At 37.1% G+C, this 21,260-nt stretch overlaps 1 protein-coding gene across 15 annotated transcripts in view; it reads left to right on the forward strand.

Annotated features, from left to right (window-relative positions):
- PKIB (cAMP-dependent protein kinase inhibitor beta) overlaps positions 1-11,140 on the forward strand; it is a 254,453-nt gene extending 243,313 nt beyond the window's left edge. For 14 of the 15 annotated variants that reach the window (NM_001270393.2, XM_047419002.1, NM_001270394.2 and 11 more), the window contains 2 exons: positions 2,554-2,730; positions 9,895-11,140. In NM_001270393.2, the coding sequence (NP_001257322.1) occupies positions 2,562-2,730; positions 9,895-9,962 (237 nt within the window). In that variant the 5' untranslated portion in view covers positions 2,554-2,561 and the 3' untranslated portion in view covers positions 9,963-11,140. Of the gene's footprint in view, positions 1-2,378; positions 2,429-2,553; positions 2,731-9,894 lie in introns of those variants that run through there. The other variant, XM_011535937.3, reaches the window with a different exon arrangement.
- The last annotated feature ends 10,120 nt before the right edge of the window (positions 11,141-21,260 follow it).

Raw genomic sequence — 21,260 nt, forward strand, 5'->3', positions numbered from 1 at the left:
GCATATCTTAACATTTTAAAAACTATTATTACATTTAATTGTAAGGTTTTAGACTATCAGGCAAGTAAGAATTCATTTATTCATGGAGCTGTTCCTTTAAGACCAGCAGAGTTAACTTCTTTGCAGTTACACAGGAAGAGATACTTGCAGCCATAGTGGTTTCTGATGTGAAGTGAATTGGTGGAGGACAGAGTGGAGGCCAGAAAATGGGGTCTACTTCCAAACTAGCCACTTCTTACAAGCTGTTGAGAAGAGATCTAACTGAAATTAATGTACCATGGGAGGGCTCACAAGATAACCAAACATTCAAACTAGAGAAGAACACTGTGAAAAGACAGGGAACCAATTATGTGCATCAGTTGTATATATATATATGAAGAGAGAGAGAGATTATTTCATCACTCAGGTATTTTATGTATATATATATATATACATACACATATATATGAACTTTAACAAACTTTTAGATATATATATGTATATACACATATTTTTCCCCCTGTTTTCTCTATATAAAAATAATAAAGGCAGAATCTAAAGTAGCTTTAGATGGCTAACTATGTGCATTATGGGGATTTGAAGAGATAATTTTGTGATAATCCATTTCGTGTTGCTTTCAGAGTGAACTGAAATTGATTTGCATGCCTGAGTGCTGACTTAGCAGCTGTGCAACTTTAAATGAGTCGCTTAACCTCTCTGACCCCCCAGTTTCCACATCCACAAAGCAAGGGTCATACTTCAGTACCTCATGGGATTATTGGGAGGTTTAACTAATGTAATATAAAAATGTTCATGTAGTATTGAATAAAAATGCTGGTTTTCCTCTTGGAAAATGCAAGAGGTCTTCCCAATAGGAAAATACTTTTTGTTAGGATTAAATGGGATACACAAGAAGGTGGTAGAATAAAGAACATTTAGTGAGATATGAACAATGATGCCAACAATCAGACATATACCTTATAGTTACAAAGAGTTCATTTATTCTTTATCTCATTATTGCTTCACCAGCATCCTGTGAATCCATAGGCTAATTGCTATGCCCGTTATATAGGGGAGGAACTGTGACTCAGAGAAATTAAATGGATTGAACAATATCACCTTCCAAGTCTATAATGGAGCACATTCTTTTTGACCAATAGTCTAGTGCTCTTTACAGTACTCTAAGATATCTATACATTCTCCACAGTTGCCAAATACCAAGCAGTTAAAAGTCTAATGGATTCCAAAATTGTATCTCAAAACATAGCTCTGTTCTCAAATTTCCCATGATTCCTGGAAAGACAATAATATCTATGGAATTAATAGAATGACTCTTTTTTGGGCAATTCCAAACTATTCCTGGACTCCTAAGGACCATGCTAAGCTCAATTTGCATTTCTTGCATTCTATGAACCAAAAATATTGTTTCTAATGTCAAATGCACCATGTTTTGTGACTATGCCATTTAGTGTTTAGCATTTCCTGAATTGAAGTTACTCCCTCCAACTACCATGAAAAGTTGGATTTGTTCTGTGTAGCCCAAGGTTTACATATTTCTGCCCTTTTTAGGTATCACAAATGAGCATCTCCATCCTTCGGTCAATACTTAGTGCATTCTGTGTTAGGGTGTCTATCTCTGCAGGCATATATTTTCTCTCCCTTTTGAGAGTGCAAGTTCCCTAAAGATGGAAAGTATACCATACGTCTGTACTCTCAGGCCTAGCTGAGAGGCTAGCATTACATAGCTTTTCAATACAATGCTTCTGCTTTCGAGATGCTATTCAGAGTTGACTTCTCAGGAGAGATTCATTCCAAAACATAATAAAAAGGTCAGTTTTAGAGTAAGCAATAACTGTTACCTTCCTCCCTTTATAGTGAATGATCTCTTGAGAATTCTTTCTTAGAGAGAGACAATTGCTAGGGAGATAAAGGGTGCTTAGGAAAGAACTAGTAATTACCATGTCAACCTGAAGGTAAAAAAACCTAAAATAGGTCCTACTCTTCAACCATTACCATGAGTCTATCGAAAATTAGGTCTCAGACCAGAACAGATCAAAATATTTAGTGCTCTCTAGGGAAAAAGCTTTTGAGATAAAGTGGAATTTCTTATTTCTAAGAAGTAGGAAAAGAGTGTTTTGTTTGGTCTCTACAAATTATAGTTATTTGGTTTCAGCCTGAACAATCACCACAAGCAAATACTGGCAGAAAGAGTCTCTACAGGAGTGGTCAAAAAAGTCAGTTTTCATTTCCTTCCAAGCCCTAGTTTGGCTGATCCATCCACAGAAAAGCAGAACAAAAGGCAAGGGATTACTGCACCCTTAAGCATCCAAGTGGCTCATTCGGCTCAGGGGTTATTTTTAGCAATCTGGCTCACACTGAGGGCTTCCTGCTCTATTCAGCAAATGTGCAAATGGATGCTGCAGGACCGTAACAGTAGACATTGATGAAGGTTGTGATCAATGATTAGACTCTCAAGCCTGTTGTGTTTTTGATCTAGCCATGCCTTTCAACCACTGTGGTGAACATTTACTTCTGAATAGGCTCATCTTCTTCATATGCACATTCTATTTGTAGATGTTGCTATGAGGACAGATTCATCAAAAATGACTGACGTGGAGTCTGGGGTCGCCAATTTTGCATCTTCAGCAAGGGCAGGCCGCCGGAATGCCTTACCAGACATCCAGAGTTCAGCTGCCACAGACGGAACCTCAGATTTGCCCCTCAAACTGGAGGCTCTCTCCGTGAAGGAAGGTAATACTCAAAATCCTCTTACAATTAACAGCACTTGTCCCTTCTTAACCAAGCCTTTTCTCTGGACAGTCTTTCTTTTATCTAGTTAAAAGTGCTCAGTTTCCTTATTTGTTTACTTAAACCTCTCAGCTTTTGTTTAAGGCTTAGTAGATGTTCAGCCTTTTCCAAAGTAGAATATTTCATCTTTTTTCTTATGCTGTGTATGTGGAAACTGAAGTTTTATTTATTCATTGCATGTGTATAGTCATGCACAAAGCTAGTAATTGGGAATACAAAGGTGAACAAATATGATCTTTCTCTCAATGAGCTTTCAAGTTTATTAAGAAGTATTCATAAATAAAATAATTTTTCTTCTGCCATCCATTGACAAATCACTTTGGAAGCTTCTGCTTCACTGTAGTGTGCTACAAGCCCTTTAATTTTCAAATCTAGGAAGAAGTTTACTATCAAGTAGAGATGAGATTCTTTCAACAGAATTTTTGTATAAAAGGTGATACTTTATATGAAAGTATAAGGATACTTTAAATAAAGTGTTAAAAGGTGCCTTTCATTTAAAAACCCTCATGGAGATTTAAAAAAACAAAACAAAACCCTGAATCAAAGTTAAAAAATACACTCAGAGAGATTAAAGATCATTTTAGTTCCAAGCCATTAGCAAAATACTCACGTTTTGTGCCCCATTTTAGACTCTCAGGTGGACTCTAGTGTATGTTTGGGAATTTATTCTTGGTGACAATGAAGCAAGTGAGAACCAGAAGCCGCTTGCATCTAACCCATTCCCGGGAGCCCAAGAAGAAGGCTCTTGGTTCTTTGCTTCAGGAGGTTATTTACTACCTGGTAAAGTTGCAAATGTTCCTGGTTCATTCTCTATGAAATAGTTATATCCTTGTAGGCCAGGAGCTGTGACCAGATCCTGCAGTTCCATGATTACCTCATCTTTTTCCAAAGGCCACTATTTCTCATATGCAACACTATAGGTGAGAGTAAAAAAGCATACACATCAACGTAAAATATTATAAGAAGAATGAAAAGAAGGAAAAGATAAGGGAAGAAAGAAATAAACATATATGTAATGTTTTTGGCCTTTTAAGTTTGAAAATGTAATATGACCATAGGAAGATGTCGTTGCTGTTCAAGAGTCCATTCTAAACTAGTGAGGTAGAGAAGGCAATTACTTGTTCGTGTAAAAACCGTAATTAAATTTTATACACCTTCAACACACACAAAACCTTAATGTTTACTGACATTACTTAATCAAGCAAAAGAGAGCAAATACACTGTGGGAGAGTCAGCAGTGTTCTCCATTTTATTTTGGTCACTAGAGAGACTAGGATCTGAAAGAATATGTTCCTGTTTTTATATTTTTCTTCATATCATTTTGAAATAAAGTCAAAGGCATCAATTAAGAAACTGAAAATGTTAAAGATGAATTTACAAATAACACCAGATGCTAAAGATTACACAAAAGGGTGAAGGCAAGTTGTAAAGTGAAATATGCCAGGCACAGAAAGGTAAATACCACATGATCTTATTCATGGAATCTGAAAGAGACAAACTGCTAGAATCAGAGAGTAGAATGGTAGCTACCAGGAAAATTAGGAAAATGATGGTCAAAAGAGATAAAATTACAATTAGACAGGAGAAGTAAGTTCAGGGGATCTATTGTAGCAACATGATGACTATAGTTAATAACAATGTATTGTATACTTGAAGATTGCCAAGTGAGTAGATTGTGAGTGTTCCCACCACACATACACACACACACACACACACACACACACACACACACACACACACACACACACAAAGTATGTGAGGTAATGGATATGTTAATTAGCTTGATTTAGCCACTCCACAATGTATGCATGTATCAAAACATCATGTTGCACAACAACATAAATATATATAATTTTTATTTGTCAATGAAAAATTAAAGAGTAGAAAAAATACACAGAAGGATATAGGCTTACATAGGTAGATGACATAGATAATATTTTATTAACAAAGTCACAAGTAAGCAGTTTGAAGGCTTATTTTTTTCTCATTAGCTAAGCATAGATGTTATTATGAATTTTAAAATGAATGGTTTCCAGTTGCTAATGAAAACTGAAAGCGGGAGTCTGTCTCAGATGTTATGGTTTCAATAATTTATTCACTTAAACATACAAATTTTGAGGTGAGGAAGATCTGCAGATTTCCCTCAGATCTATCCTTTGTTTTTATTTTTAATTTTTTTAATAAATATGCCTAAGTGGCAGGAAATCTAGGATTTCAAGTGTTTTGCATGCTGCATGAAATTAACCTGAGATTTGCCCAGTTCATAATCTGTCTTAATCTATCCCTTATAAATTGATAACCATGATAAAAAGGTCAATGATATTTGATGACATATGAACAGGAGGTGACAGAGGGTGGCATCCTGGGATGGAGAAAGATCAGTGGATTTGGGATATGTTTTATAGGCAGAATCAATAGGACTTGCTGATGAATTGGATGTGGCAGAGATGAGGAAGAGAATTGGAGGATAACTCCTAGAGCAGTCAGGCAGGTGCTGATGCCATACACCGAGAAGGGTTAGCCTAGAGGATGGGCAATTTTAAGAGTTGGAGGAGTGAAAATTTTTGTCTTCAGGATGCCTACGAGACATCTAAATGGACAAGTCAATGAAGCGATTTGATATATAGGTCTGGTGGATCAGACGGAAAAAGTTTCTGAGATATACATTTTTGAATATTTGAGTGTATTTTTTTTTTTTGAGACGGAGTTTCACTCTTGTCTCCCAGGATGGAGTGCAATGGCGTCATCTTGGTTCGCTTCAACCTCTGCCTCCCGGTTTCAAGCGATTCTCCTGTCTCAGCCTCCTGAGTAGCTGGGATTACAGGTGCCCACCACCACACGCTGCTAATATTTGTATTTTTAGTAGAAACGGGGTTTCACCACGTTGGGCAGGCTGGTCTCAAACTCCTGACTTCAGGTGATCCGCCTGCCTTGGCCTCCCAAAGTGCTGGGGTTACAGGCATGAGCCACTGCGCCTGGCCTTGAGTGTATATTTTCAAAACATATTTTATATGATTGAGGAGAAAACAGTGCAAATGAAATTATCCCATACCTGACAAGCCACATGAGTAGATTACCTTTTCAGTACAAATGGAACCACAGAATATGAGAAGGAAAGACGGAGCCTTAGAAGTCCTCCACTCTTTTGATATATAGATGTTACCATAACTAACCCCAAACAGGTTAAGTGACTTGCCCAAGCTCACAAAAATTAAGTGATAATAGAATGTCTGGTTCCAAAGCCTTCATCTTTCCCATTATACCAATTTTTCTCTATAAATGTTTCATAGAAATTATTTTGGGTGTTAATGTGTCACCCAGAAAAAAAGGGTGCTGTAGTCAAATGAGTTTGGAATTGCTGGTTTCAACATAATTGGCTTTTTACACTTCTCGGAATGTTTCCTTTTTAGACAAGGACTTCTCAGAGCCTTTGTTACAGAGACTTTAAAGTAATAGTGTGTCTACACCCTTCTAAAAATAGAACATACAACATTTTTTTCTCTCATTTATTTGGCCATCTCTGAAGAAGCATCTTGCAGAATTATTGTTCTGGGAGGCACTCTAAAAATGTGACAAGGAGTAGAAAAGGCAGTTGATACAAAGAAGAGCAGAACACAAGGATGGAAATAGGAAATGTAAAAAAATAGACTATTATATCTGATTTATATTAAACGTATATTAATGAAAAGCCTAATTTAGTAAACAGTTAAAGTGGTATGTTACCTAAAAGATATATAATAAGGATCTCAACATAATATTTATATAAAGTAACATGTTACTACATATATATATATATATATGAGAAATGTTTTTCCAAGCTAGGCTTCTAGAGAACAGAAGAACCAAGCCAGATAATCTAGAACTCAACATTTTCTTGCTTTCCCAAGAGTTCTTATTATGATCAAAAAAGTGAGATAAGTAACAGTTCAAAATAGCTTATTCACATTTGAAATGACAGTAACAGGCTTGAAAGGGAAGTTTGATGTTGCACTCTCAGAGAAATTATGTTGGAAGAATATATTGAAAATATATTCGATTACATTGAAAGCACTTGACATATGCAGAAGGTTGAAGAATAACAGCAATGTTAACTAGGAAGCACATAATATATGAAAAATCATTTTCCTTTCATTAACATCACAATACAAAATGTTTTCCTTTCATTAACATCACAATACAAAGTTGACAGCAATCATAACCTCTTGAGCAGATTATTGTTTCTTTTTATCTGCAATCATCTTTGAATGTATTTCTAAACACTTTCACATTACAAAGCAAAAAATGAGACTATAAGAGGTATTTGGAATCATGTTTTATATTTTAGTTAATAATCCTGAGCAAGATACTAGATTGACAATAAATGATATCCTGTTAGTTTTCATCTAATTATTATCTTGAGTTCCTAGTTCATTTCACAGAAAGATAACAACTTAAGGGGACTTCATATCATCTTCTGCTCATTAGACCAACTTAGAGATAGCAGATATAACAACTCTTCTCTGAAAGCTATAAAGCTTTGTGTGTAGCTTGCTTAGAATCAGTGGTGGCAAGTGCAGCTTCAATTACTGTGCAAATAATTTAGTGTTTTGTATTTCATATGGTTATAGAGTACCATTTTCTACCAAGCTTATTTTTCTAAGGGATTTCTTTCAATAAACACTTATTAAGCACCTGCCATGTTAATTAGAAGGCAACCAATTATGATTGTTAGGGTGCAAATTCTCCCTTGATCCCAATTCTCCTCCAGCTACTGTCCTAGTTCTCCATTTCTGTTTTGTAACAAAACTCCTTGACAGAGTTATCTGCTTCTGTGGCTCCAAATCTTCTGCGTACCATTCTTTCTCTCACCCTAATAAGATTTTCACCTCACCACATCACCCCACTGCTATTTCAAGATCACAAATGACATCATTTCTGCTAACACCAGTGGTTCATTCTTAGCCATCCTCTTGCACGATCTCTTAGTCACAGATGATTGTCACTCTTTCCTGTAACGTTTCTCTTCCCTTGGCTTTCCGGACACTCCACTCATCTGGTTTTCTTCCTGCTTCCCTGGCTGCTCCTCCTTCAGCTTTTCTTTCCTCATCTCCCCTAACTCTAAATAAATTGGAGGTTATCAGAATTCAGTCTTTGGACATCATCTCTATCAACACTCCCTCACTTGTGATGTAATCTGATTTCGTTGGGATAATGATTGTGCTTTTGATGACTTACAAATTTTTGTCTCCAACCTGGAGCTCTCCTGAACTGCACACTCATATACTAATTGCCTAATTGGCGTCTCCGCTTGGATATCTAATGGGAATCTCAAACTTAATGGGTATAAAAGCGAACTCCAGATAGTCTCCTGACAACAGCTCTTTCTGCATTTTCCCATCTCTGAGTGGCAATTCATACTTCCAGTTAACAAAATTATTGCCAAAAATATTGGAATCATCCTTTTCTCCCCTCTTTTTCTCGTATTCTCCATCCCATCTATCAGTGAATACTGTCAGCTCTACTTTCAAAATTGGTCCATAAATCTGCCATTTTTCACTCACAGGATCTAGTTTTTTTGGTACCTCTATGACTCCATTTTCTATTCCAATTTTCTCTACCACTGTCCCGCTTGCAAATCCTTCCTGCATATTATTGTCTTTGGCTTTGTTTTTCTCTGTGCTTGGAATGCTCTTCTCCCCACTATCTATATAGAATTCTTCTTCACCTTTTCAGGCCTTTACTCAAATGTCCCCTTCTCAGTGAGGCATTCCCAGCTAACTCTGTCTAGAATTGCATCCTTCAGGCCACAAGACTTCTTGAAAATTTCTATTTTCCACTCCTGTTTTAATGTCTTCATTAGCCCTTTTTACTTCTTATTGACCACACATTTCATTTATTTTGTTTATTGTCCATATTTCTCATCAGATTTTCCTTGAGAGCCGGGATTCATGTTTTGTTCATTGCCTTGTACGTAGTACATGCTTAATAAATATTTGATGAATGAGAGTTGAAGAACTGAATAGAGTCCATCAGATTTCAAAGATACCATTGATGACTTGGTAGGAGCAGTTTTGCAGGAGTAGTAGACCTAAATAGTTTCACTTAAAAACGGAGACAACAAAAGAGGGATACCTTTTAAAGGATGAAAGAGAAGATAGTATGTGGAAGACTTACAGTTGAAAGAGGGTCTTTGTTAGTTTAAAGACAGTAGTGACTTGTGGGAACGAAGGAGCCAGGAGAAAGGGAAAGTCAGGTAAAATGAAGAGCGCAGATGATTATTAGAGTCAGCCTCTTGATGAAGCAAAAATGGATAGGATGGGGGATCATGAAGGTATTAGACTGCATAGCAGGAGTAACACCAGGAGCCAGCTCCAAAATTGTGCAACCAGGGTGGTTGCATAGGGCTCCTTGATTAGAAGAGACTTGCATTTGGTTTAATGTTCTATTCTTGCTGTCTTGAAATTTTTCATTATTTTTGAACAAGCGTACTGCATTTTCATTTTGCACTGGGCACCAACAAATTACATAGCCAGTGCTCACAAGTGCATCTTCCATTGTAAAAAGAGGGAAGGCAGAAAGAATAAGCACAGATCACGGGGAGTTTTAGATATTTAATGGCAGGAAGTTGAGGGAACTCCTGTCTGATAACTTTGATTATTTTTTTTTCCTATGAAGTAGAAAGTGAGGTTGTCTCCTAAGAAAGAGCAAAGGGAGTAGAAAGTGTGAAGAAGCTGGGGAGAGTGCAATCCTGCATAGGGAATTGGCTAAGGACATACACCACGGAGTCAGTTGGCCCAAGCTCAAGTTGTGACTGTCACTCACTAGTCTCTGACTTTGGACAAGTCACTTTACCTGCTTGTGTTTCATTTTAGTAATCTGTAAATGGAGGCTCTGAGAATACCCTAGAAGACTGTCTGGCACTTCATAACTCTGTAGAATAGGAGAAAGTTGATCAGGAGAAGGTAGATTCCCAAACCTACTCATATCGCTCTTCTTTGTATAGTTTCCATATCTGAATTGAGGGCAAAATATGGACGGTGGACAAAGGAAAAACCAATGGTTTTATTCTAACATAATACAAAATAAATTTCAATATATTCCACATATGAATGGAAATTTTTTTTTCAGATGCAAAAGAGAAAGATGAAAAAACAACACAAGACCAATTGGAAAAGCCTCAAAATGAAGAAAAATGAAGGCTCATAATCTATCAAGAGTGCTGAATTTCTGCATGTTGAAAGACTTAGTGGTTCTGTTTTCTTGAGACATTTAATCTGGTGGTAACTGTGGTAACATTGCAGCCCTAAGCAGCATGTGTATATTAGATAATTGTGTTGTGATGCTACTCACTTTGATTGCAATGATGATGTCCAAGGTAAGCTATTAAAAGGCAGGTTACTTCCAAATCGCACTGAAGGAAAAGGTTAAGAATAATACATGATCACAGAAATGCATACCACTGTCTGTAAACCCAACAAAATTCACTGTTCTCTTTTGGATTTATTTAGCCTGATGTATTTTTAATTCAATTTTTATGGTGATGGGCAAATCATTCTTGGTAAATGTAAATCAAACATGATTGATTTAAAACTTCATGGAATTTGTAGAAAATTATGGACATTTTTGGTGAGAAAGAACAATAGTCAAAACTCACATGGATAGAGTGTGTTTGTTTTTTGCCAAAAATGCCCCAGACTTTTTCCCAAACCTCAAAAACGTCTTGGAAAAATTGTAAAAGTTTGATAACAGAAACATCTTTAGGATATTTTTGTCTGACATATTTTGCTTCTAGTATGTGCCTACTGTGATTTTTTTCATGTGGAAAATGCAAAATTTGTAACAAAATGGTTATATGGAACATGCCTATTAAATGAATTTTACTATCTTCCCTAACTTTGGTCTGTGTATGTGTGTGTGTTTTACTTTAATATGAATTATACAAAATACTAGTTGTTTTACACTCTCTTTTCTTATTCTTAGGGCTTTTGTGTATGTCTGACTTGTTTTTAAATAACTTCCTCAGCAATGCAGACCTTAATTTTTATATTTTTTTAAAGTAGCTAACATAGCAGTAGGCACTTAAGCATTTAGTCAATGATATTGGTAGAAATAGTAAAATACATCCTTTAAATATATATCTAAGCATATATTTTAAAAGGAGCAAAAATAAAACCAAAGTGTTAGTAAATTTTGATTTATTAGATATTTTAGAAAAATAATAGAATTCTGAAGTTTTAAAAATGTCAGTAATTAATTTATTTTCATTTTCAGAAATATATGCATGCAGTTATGTTTTATTTGATTGTTGACTTAGGCTATGTCTGTATACAGTAACCAAATAAACTCTTTCACTATTAAAGAGATTTCTTACTGACACAAGTCTCCTTCATTTTATCTTCAGAAGTAGGCTGAGTAAAAAATGGTGACACATTTTATAGAATGAAGTTAACAGTCTTTGCAATATAAATCACCTCTGGCTTATTATTTAATTGACAGAGCTTACCTTTATATCTTATATACACCAAAGGGGTAGATCTCAAAGAACCTGATTGCTTTAAGTTTTCAAATATAATTTTTTCTTTATTAAATAATCAAAAGTAATATTTTAAGTGTAGCACTAATTTAATATTCAATAACATTTATCACAGCCATTAAAATTATATTTCTAAAAGTTATTTAATGACATGAGGTTTTATAATCAGATAAAGAGGGGTTAGAGTGGAACAGTGGTTTTCAGCATGGATGGGGAAGAAATTTTGCCCCCTAGAGGGCATTTGACAATGTCTGGAGACTTTTTGGCTGCCACAACTGGAGGTGGAAAGCAAGGGAGAAAAGGTGCTACTGTAATGTAGTGGGCAGAGGCTGGGGATACCGCTAAGCTGCTAAGCATCTTACCATTCCACAGGGCAGCCCTGACAGCAAGGATTACCCGGTCATGTGTGTCAACAATGCTGAGGTTGAGACACTCTGGAGTAGAGTTAAACTGTTAAGCATATGGATTTTAAATTCAGATTATCTGGGTTTGAATTCTAGCTCTGCTACTCAGTAGTTGCGTGATCCTGGGCAACTTACATCATGTCTCTAAGTCTCAGTTTTATCCTCTGTGGAATGGTTTTAATAATAGCGCATACTTTATAGGGTGGGTGGAGGCAGTAAATGAGATAGTATATGCAAAACAATTGAATAATGCCTGGCAAAGAATAATTATTCAATAAATATTAGCTATCATCATCATCGTTGTCATATTTATTCAAGATGCTCTTGCCAATACTGTGGTAGTGGAGGTGGTAGGAAGCTCAATTTGTTTATTTGTCTGTCTTCTGCCTTTCTCTGTGACTTCACAAAATCTCTGTGATATCCCCAATGCTTGGTGCTGGGAGAAAACAGGATGGTAGAAATAGACAATTCATGGTAATTACCACATGAATGCTAATTCAATCATGCTAATGGGTGACTGACAGGCCATGAGTATTACCATTTAACAATGAGTCTGCTCACTAGTGTTTTATGACAGTTACTGCAAAAAAATAGAATCTTGAGTCAGTATTTAAATGAGTAATTTGTTCCATGAAAATGTAGAAGAAATAAAGTAACATCGTTCTTGGATCATAGTTTTCTACAATATTTTTCTCATTTAGAAGACCAAAAGTAAAGCCATGTCCCTCCTCATTATTGCTAACAGTTACATATATTCTGAATGATATATATTCTAAATCAATTATTCACTACAATGCACACACAAACGTTCCATTATTTTGTATTACCCAAGGTATCAGGCTTGTTCACTGAGAATATGTGCTAACGAAAATGGTTTATTTTCCCTGAGGAGTCCAGACAAAGGAGAATGAGAGGTCAGTAGCAGTTTAAAGACAACGCTGAATTTGCCTACCAACTTTTTAAAAAATCAAGCTATTTTGAGGAACCTATGGTATTTTGTCATAGCAAGTAGACACTTTTACCAAAGCTATTTATTTGGGACTTATTAAAGAAAGTCTCCTTGCCCATTTTGCCATTGTCTTTGTACAAGGCACTTGCTTTAGTCAATAGCTATGAAGTCTAAATTAACACTGTCAGATAATCAGGCTAAAAGGTGACAATAAAGCTATAAAGCAGCTGTCTGAAAACTTAACTCTGTATAAAGGAGAAAGAACAAAAAGAATCTATTCTGTGTCATGTACCCAGAGATATTTTGTGTTCTGGGTAGAAAAGATTTGAACTTTCTTAAAACGTTAGTGAGTATAAGGGGAGGTGCCCTACTTAGAAAATAAACCACTAGTTTTCCTCAGGTGGCTTGACAACTTGGGCAGATGTTTGGCAAGGGACAGGGGGATAGAGAGGAGCCAGAGGAAAATGAAAATTCTGGTGTTCTATGCCACTGTAGAATGACTATACTTAGTAATAACATATAATTTAAAATAGCTAGAAGGGGCCCTGTGCAGTGGCTCACACCTGTAATCCAGCACTTTGGGAGAGCAAGGTGGGTGGATCACTTGAAGTCAATAATTCAAGACCAGCCTGGCCAACATGGTGAAACCCCGTCTCTACTAAAAATACAAAAATTAGCTGGGTGTAGAAAAATAAAAATTAGCTTGATGTGGTGGCATTGTCCCAGCTACTCGGGAGGCTGAGGCAGGAGAATCACTTGAACCCAGGAGACAGAGTTTGCAGTGGGCCGAGATTGTGCCACTGCACTCCAGCCTGGGCAATAGAGCAAGACTCTGTCTCAGAAAACAAAAACAAATTAAAATAAAATAGCTAGAAGGAGGATGTTGAGCATTCTCAACACAAAGAAATGACAAATGCTTGAGATGATGAATATGCAAATACCATGATCTGACCACTCTAAATTGTATGTATCAAAACATCACTATGTACCCCATGAATATGTATAATTATTATTTGTTAATTAAAAAGTAAAATAAAAAAAGGATATAACCAAAGCTCACTAATCTGTTACCCTGTCTGTGGAGCCTGGCCCCTCAAGTTCAAAGTACAGCTCTGCCATTTGCTCTTATGATTTTGTTCATTTTATTCCTTGTGCTTCCATTTATTCAACATGTAAAATGATAAATTATTATGAGGATTAAGTGAGTGAATATTAGTCATTGATAAGGGCAGTGCCTGGCATACTAGCAAAAACTCATATTATTATTATTTGCCAGAACATAAAGGATGATAAAGACTTTAAGTTGAATGTTCTAGATCTGTTGATTTTTTCCTATGTTATTTGCCAGTATAGATTTCCTTCTATTCTTCTGCTCTTTTCTTTCCGCTAGCAACACCTCCGTGGCTAAAAACAGGACTGATTAATCAGACTGAGTCCCTTTTTTTTTTTTAGTGTTACTGATGACAACTCTCAGAACATTAAAAATCTGCAGCCAGTTAAAAACTGGAAGCGTTGGCTCAAACAAAGGGCTGGGGCAATGTTGTTGTTACTTGTTAAAATCCTAGAATGGATTTCTCAGTGGGCACACATCAACAGAAGTCATCATCATAGGCCGGGCGCAGTGGCTCATGCCTGTAATCCCAGCACTTTGGGAGGCCGAGGCAGGCGGTTCATGAGGTCAGGAGATCGAGATCATCCTGGCTAACATGGTGAAACCCTGTCTCTACTAAAAATACAAAAAAATAGCTAGGCATGGTGGCGGGTGCCTGCAGTCCCAGCTACTTGGGAGGCTGAGGCAGAAGAATGGCATGAACCCAGGAGGCAGAGGTTGCAGTGAGCTGAGATCATGCCACTGCACTCCAGCTGGGGCAACAGAGCAAGACTCCGTCTCAAAAAAAAAAAAATCATCATCATAGCCAAATTTCTTGTGACTGGTGATTACTTAGCACATAGTAGATCCTTTTGAATCTTCATAAAAAATCATATAAAATAGTTGTTAATGTTTCTCATTTTTACAGATGAAGAAAATGGATTCAGAGAGTATCTTTGAGAGTTCACACAAGGAAGTGCAACAGTGACTTAGGACAGGGCTCTCAGAGTTTGGATGTGCACAGCCTCTCTTGTACCAAAAGTCCCCTCTTCCCCAAACCAGCTCATTCATGAGCATATTAGATTTGTCTGAATTTACTCAAAATTCTTAGGGAAATTTAAAAGTTGTATAAGAAGAATAACATATGAGCCAAAATGAGCACTGATATCTCAAAACAGCAATTTTATTTATTTATTTGGCTTTATTCTTTCATTAACTCATATTTTACCTCATTCCAGAAATGATTTTATATGGCAAGCTGTTGGTATTGTTGTCATTTAATTTTCCATTAACTTGTAGAGCCCTGAAGGAGTGCAGAGTTGGTGAGAAGACTGGGATTCTTTGGGGTGGGAAGTAGTAGCTGGAAGAGAGGCAGAGAAGAAAGGCTCCCCATCCTTGGCTCGGCTCACATTCAGCTTGGGGCTAACCATGGTTGTGAAGAGGGCACATGGACATTCTGAGACACAAACTGCATCTGGCATGAACTAACTATGAACATTTTTAGAGAAGGGCCACATAGGTAAGTGAAATCATCTCATTTGTTCCTCAGTGATAAATTTCAGAGGCTGAATTATTTTTGGCAATGTTGATGGCAGAGAAGCATCCGAAGTGCCAGATGGGTCGCTACAGAGACCTCAGGGAACCATAAGAAAGCCAGAAATCTGAAGAAAAAAAAAAAAAGTCTCACCTTAGAGTCTGTGGAATTGAGCTCTCATAGTGCTTTAGGCATACCAGATATTCAAATAGTCCTGTTTTATAACGTATTTGTCACCTAAATTGAATTTCCATTAGTGGAAGGGATTTGTTTTTTACATATTGCCTTTCTTTGATGTAAAATTGTGGAGAATAATAGGAGAAAAAGCATGGGGCTGTCGTCAATAAATGCGGATTTGGTTCCAGGATTTTGACCTAAATTTAACCTATATTGACTACGTGCCTTTGGGTACATTATTTTCACCCTGGGCAGTTTTTCTTATTTGAGAGAATTATTCAAAACTGACACTAGGTGGTGCTCTGCTCCCACTGGCTCTACAAAAAATTTAATCGAGGCATGCCTGAGGTTTCCAGTTTGTTTCACCAATTCTGCTACATATGTTGGTCAGGATTACTGCAAAAACAAAACAGCAACCAAAACTATAGTATTTCCAACACAATTTTTTCAAGAGACACAAGAAAAATATTATAACAGTGTGCTATTCTGTGGCTACCAATTTTTTAGGATACCCTATGTTCTTAGGTACCAAAAGAAGGTGTTCTAATATAGCTTAAAAATATACTTCTCCCAAAGGAAAAATAAATCATTATGTTAAAAAGATACCTACACCAGTATATTTATCATAACACTATTCATATTAGCAAAAATGCAGAATCAACCTGTGTCTATCAACAGATGACTGAATAAAGCAAATGTGGTACAATACAACGGAATACTACTTAGCCCTAAAAAGAATAAAATCATATCTTTTGCAGCAACATGAATGGAACTGGAGGCCATCAGAAAGTTTCTGGGTTATTTTACTTAGTTACAACATGTTCTCACTCATAAGTGGGTACTAAATAATGCATACATACAGACATAGAAAGTGGAATTGTAGACATTGGAGACTTGGAAGCGGGTGGGAGTGAGATGAGAAATTACCTATTGGGTACAATGTACACTATTCAGGCGATGGCTACACTGAAAGCCCAGACTTCACCACTAGGCAATATATTCATGTAACAAGATGATACATAAGCCCTAAATCTATAAAAATAAAAAAATACACTTCTTAAGAATATATGGGGAGCAAGGGGAGGAATAGCTTTAGGACAAATACCTAATGCATGCGGGACTTAAAGCCTAGATGATGGGTTGATGGGTGCAGCAAACCATCATGGCACATGTATACCTATGTAACAAACCTTCACGTTCTGCACATGTATCCCAGAACTGAAAGTATAATGAAATAAAAGCTAAAAATAAATAAATAAAAAGAATATAAAGTCTATCACTTTTTCTGATGTGTAACAAAGAGTTCCTTTTTCTGTGTAACAGGGTCATCTGGATCTTTTTAAAAAAAAATTTAAAATAGCAATACACAAATGTTTTATTCATTAAAATCAAATTACAAATAATCCTGAGTTCTCTACAAGCTTCAATTCAAAATAGACCTCTGATGTCTTTCAAGTTTAAAGCACTGTTTTCAATTGTGACTTTTAGACTTGGAAGAGCCCCTGGCAGTTTGAACTCAAGTAAATGTGTAAATGCTATGTGAATATGTGGTTTTGTTCTTGATTTAATTCAAAATATCATCTTATTGCTTAATAGTTCCCCTTCCAATTAGAAGAAAGATTGGTGTCTCCTAAGTGGAGGAATTGGGGTTAACAAGATGATTATTCCTGTTTTTCCAAGAGCAGGAAGGAAAATAGGGAGAACGTTTTCCACAAATCCCACTGTGTGTTATGTGGGAAAGTTGAATGCACAAAGGGGACGCTGGCCAGGTAGTCTTGGTGAGGTTCTATTGGGGTGAGAGATTCTGAGCACAGCTTCTGAAATCTCTGGAGTGCTTTCGCTCTACAAGAAGATGTACATTCAGTGACAGGCCCACATGTGGGTAGTTAACAAGGGGAAGGAACAGATAGTATATAACTAACCCTTAGTATGTATTAAAACTGTTCTCAGTGCTTTATGAGATTATTTAATTCTCACAATAGGCCAACATATGAGAAAATAGGCCCAGAGACGTACTGTCCAAGCTCACATGAGTAAATGTTAAAGCCAAGCTTCAAACCAAAGCAAGTTTGTTCCAGAATCCATGCTTTTAATCACTAATCTACATCATCTCCCCAAATGAGAGCAAACACACAGTGATACTGTTGTAAGTGCTTTATTCACATTAACTTTTAATTTTCACAACAACCTCACGACACAGGATTTATTCTTGGTCTCCTTTCACAGCTGAGGAAACTGAAGCACAGATTAGTTAAAAGGTTAAGATGATAATTAACGTTGAGGGTGTGCTTAAAGACAAGACTGCCTCTTAAAGTCTGTTTGAAGGGCACTCAGCAGGTGCAGAATTGAGCTCTGATCCCCACCACCTTCTTTTTTCCCTGGGGTTCTTCTTACTTGGGTAGATCCATGCTGCACAGCCTCCGAAGGCTTTGGTCTAAGCCTACGGATAATTTTGGTTCCTGGTGCCTCTTGTCATAGTTGGGATTAAAAAAAAAGACACTAAGTATAGAGGAAGAACAGGATACACTTCCTCTGCACTGAGCTCTACACTTTGAAAGAGCGCTGCTTTAGCAACAAAGTTCTGAGGCAACTTCACAGACACCTCCTGCTCCCTAGCACCAGCCGGCTCTCCAGGGGCACCATCTTCCTAAGTTTTCCCTTTTAACACCACAGTCAAGAAGGGCTTGGGTCTCCTCCCCAGGTGCTTGTCACCTACTGGTAATTAACGAAATGAATCATTTCACTCTTCTGATGAAACATCTGCTTCCCTATAGCAACGGATGTTTAGGCGGTTGGCTAGGAGGGGGAATGTGTAGACCCAAGGAGATACCTTATTAGTTACTTTACCTATTAGCAGAAAATGAGGTCTGGTGGCTGGATAATTGTGTCACTAAGAATGACAGAAAATCCAAAAGAAAAAGAAAGAGTGGTTCTCTTCCATTCACAGGTTCTTTTCAATACAAGTGTTCCTTTATTTCTTGGAACTTCAGTTTTCTTATATGCAAAATGAATTTATTGAAAAGCCCTCTAAATTCTAGCTAATTCTGATAGTCCCTGAATTTTGGACTCATTTTAAGAGAAATTTTGAGACAATAAAATGGATTATCAGTAATAATATATGTATTTTAACTTGCAACTAAATTAATATTTCCTTTTTTAATTTGTTTTCTATGTTTTCTGTGTTTAGTTTTCAAGCTGAAAGAAAACAGGCTGTATTATGCATACAGTATCTACAATTGCACATTCAAAAACTGAGTTATATCATTTCTCAATATTAATTGAAGAAATGATTAGAATCCCTATAGAAAGTAATGCTGTGTTCATTTACTCAATTACTTTGATGAATGCCTTCCTGAAGCTGTCCTCACTCCCCCTCATTGCTTCTCCAAGGTATGGAAATAGGCAGCCCCATACTGCCACATGTCTATGTTACATATGTGTTATACCATGTTATCCTGGGTAATGAGTCATCCTATCTGACTGGCTGGGAACCATAAGGTGTTCTCCTTCTCTCAAGATTTTTGCCCCTTGAAATAATCTTCCTGTTTCGTCTCACACCAAAGAGTCCCTATTCTTATATGCTTCTGGAGTTTCCATATTTGAGTTCTTCTGGCAATGACGGCCAGAGAGAAAGGAGAGGAAAGGAACCCACCAGTAGCTGTCTTTCTGCTGCCTGTCTGAGTACAGGTATATACAACGATGACGGGGGACATGGTGCGTGCAAACACATGATGAGCGTGAGCCATGCCAAGCGGGGACCTGAGTGAGGACCACTTACAGGTGTGGTGACAGAGGGAAGATGGACTTGGGTCCAGAAAGACGGGACAGAGAGATGGGCAGGAAAAGGGAGAGTACTTCACATGAGGAGAAGCTGAGAGACGGCAGAAGTGCACATGGGTATTTTGAGAGAAGCAGGCTGGGGTGGTTGGCACTGAGGCGCAGAGAGAAAGTGGTGGGAGACAAGAAAAACAGGGTTGGAAATGAGGCTCACAGTAGATTCTAGAGATCCAGGAACGTCAGGCTAAAGCACCTGGCCTTTATCTTGCAGGCAACAGGGAATCTTAAAAGGCTGTGCGTGTGTGTGTGTGTGTGTGTGTGTGTGTGTGGTAAACGAACGGGATGAGTGCTATCAAACCTTGGTATTTTTCTTAAGTTATATAAAATAAATTATTTTCTATTTTATTCTTAGCCAATAAACGGGATCGAGTGGCAACTAACAAAAACTAGCCAACTCTGTCAAAAAGATCTCCACATCAGAAACCAAGACCTGGAAGCTGTAAGAAGCCTGGATCCACACAAACGACTGCTTAGCATTCAAATACTCCCCTCCCAGAACACTTGATGTGTTTCTTGCATATCTGACTTACTCTGCTGGCCATCTACTGACAAAAGCAATCTCTTCCCAGATGAAAATTTCTCTGGCCCTTTCTCTTTGTTTGTTTTTGGTATTGTTTAAAAAACAGCATTTCAAATTCCTTCAGCCTTCCAGGAAAGCAGACAGATGTGTAAACTAGATTCCAAAGCACTAAGACTTCTGCTTCTTAATAAGCTGGGACACAATCATGCCCTGGAAGCAAAAGTGAATAGAATTTCCTCATTCACGAAGGGTCTACTGTTGATTTTCTAAAAAGAAACAAAACAGTAACCAGATGGTAGTTGACAGGGCAACTTTAAAGACAAGTATTTGTTTTGATCTCATTCCTAAGGGAAAGAAAGTTAGATAATTAATAGCAGGAAAGAACAGGAGAGAAAGGCTAGAGGAGAAGAAATATCAAAGATAATGTATAAAGAGAAATGTGAGGAGAAATGGATATTGGAAAATAAGGGGAAAAAATAGCCAGTTCTAGAAAAATAGAAAATGGGATGAAATGAAATATAACTGCACATTTTTCACTAAATCGTTGCCTAGGAAACAACTAGGAGTGTTTCTCCCTGTACTGAATAATCGTTGAGAAACACACTGGACTTAGGGTCTCTTGGCTTTATTGTATCAACTGGGAAACTTACGTGTCAGTCATAGTAGTTATGAGCACCATGCTTTCTATATCATGCTTCTAACAACAGAAGTAGTCAGTTTCAACAATTTTGGAGGGTAATAGCAGAGGAATTGTAAGTTTGAAACCTACAAACACAGGCAGGTTGAGACTTGAAAATCTGATTAGTCTAGGATGACACATTAGTATGTGTAACACTAAGCAACAAACCGTGGAAAAGTCAATTAGAAAAGCAGCTGAAGGCCCATTTGGCAATGTGAGATCATCTTTACAGTTTGCCTGGTATCTGTTGAAAACCAGTTTTCCATATAAAGAGCCTGGTGCACTTAAAGTCATATAGTGTGGAGGCAAAGTTTCACGTTACAAAGCAGTTCTTTATCCTCCATTAGCGTACAGCCCCTATGGATCTTATTATCACTGTTTTCCTTTTAATCTAATAATTATAAAGAACAAAAAGCATTAAAAAATGCTTTACTGCTCCCATTTGAATTTGTCTTTCCTATAGTTTAGTGAATTTTGCAGAAAATATTTATATACATTGTCTTAAATAAGCCCATCTCTATAAAGCTGTCCCTCCTCTATTTATTGGGCTGAATTCTCAGCGTGTGCGTGCAGGCAGGCATGCATATGTGTGTGTGTGTGTCTGTGTACACATGCGCATACATGTGCACTTAGAGAATTGTGACAGGGGTAGGGAAAACAGGTGTGGGAGGGATTGTTTTTCATAATGACTCATACTATCCTTTTCCTAAACAAAAGCAGGAGTTAAGAGTTTGAGAACGTTTGCTGTTGGTTGGAAATAGACCATGGTTA

The sequence above is a fragment of the Homo sapiens genome, chromosome 6 (genome assembly GCF_000001405.40).
Source record: "Homo sapiens chromosome 6, GRCh38.p14 Primary Assembly".
Taxonomy (NCBI): Eukaryota; Metazoa; Chordata; class Mammalia; order Primates; family Hominidae; genus Homo; species Homo sapiens.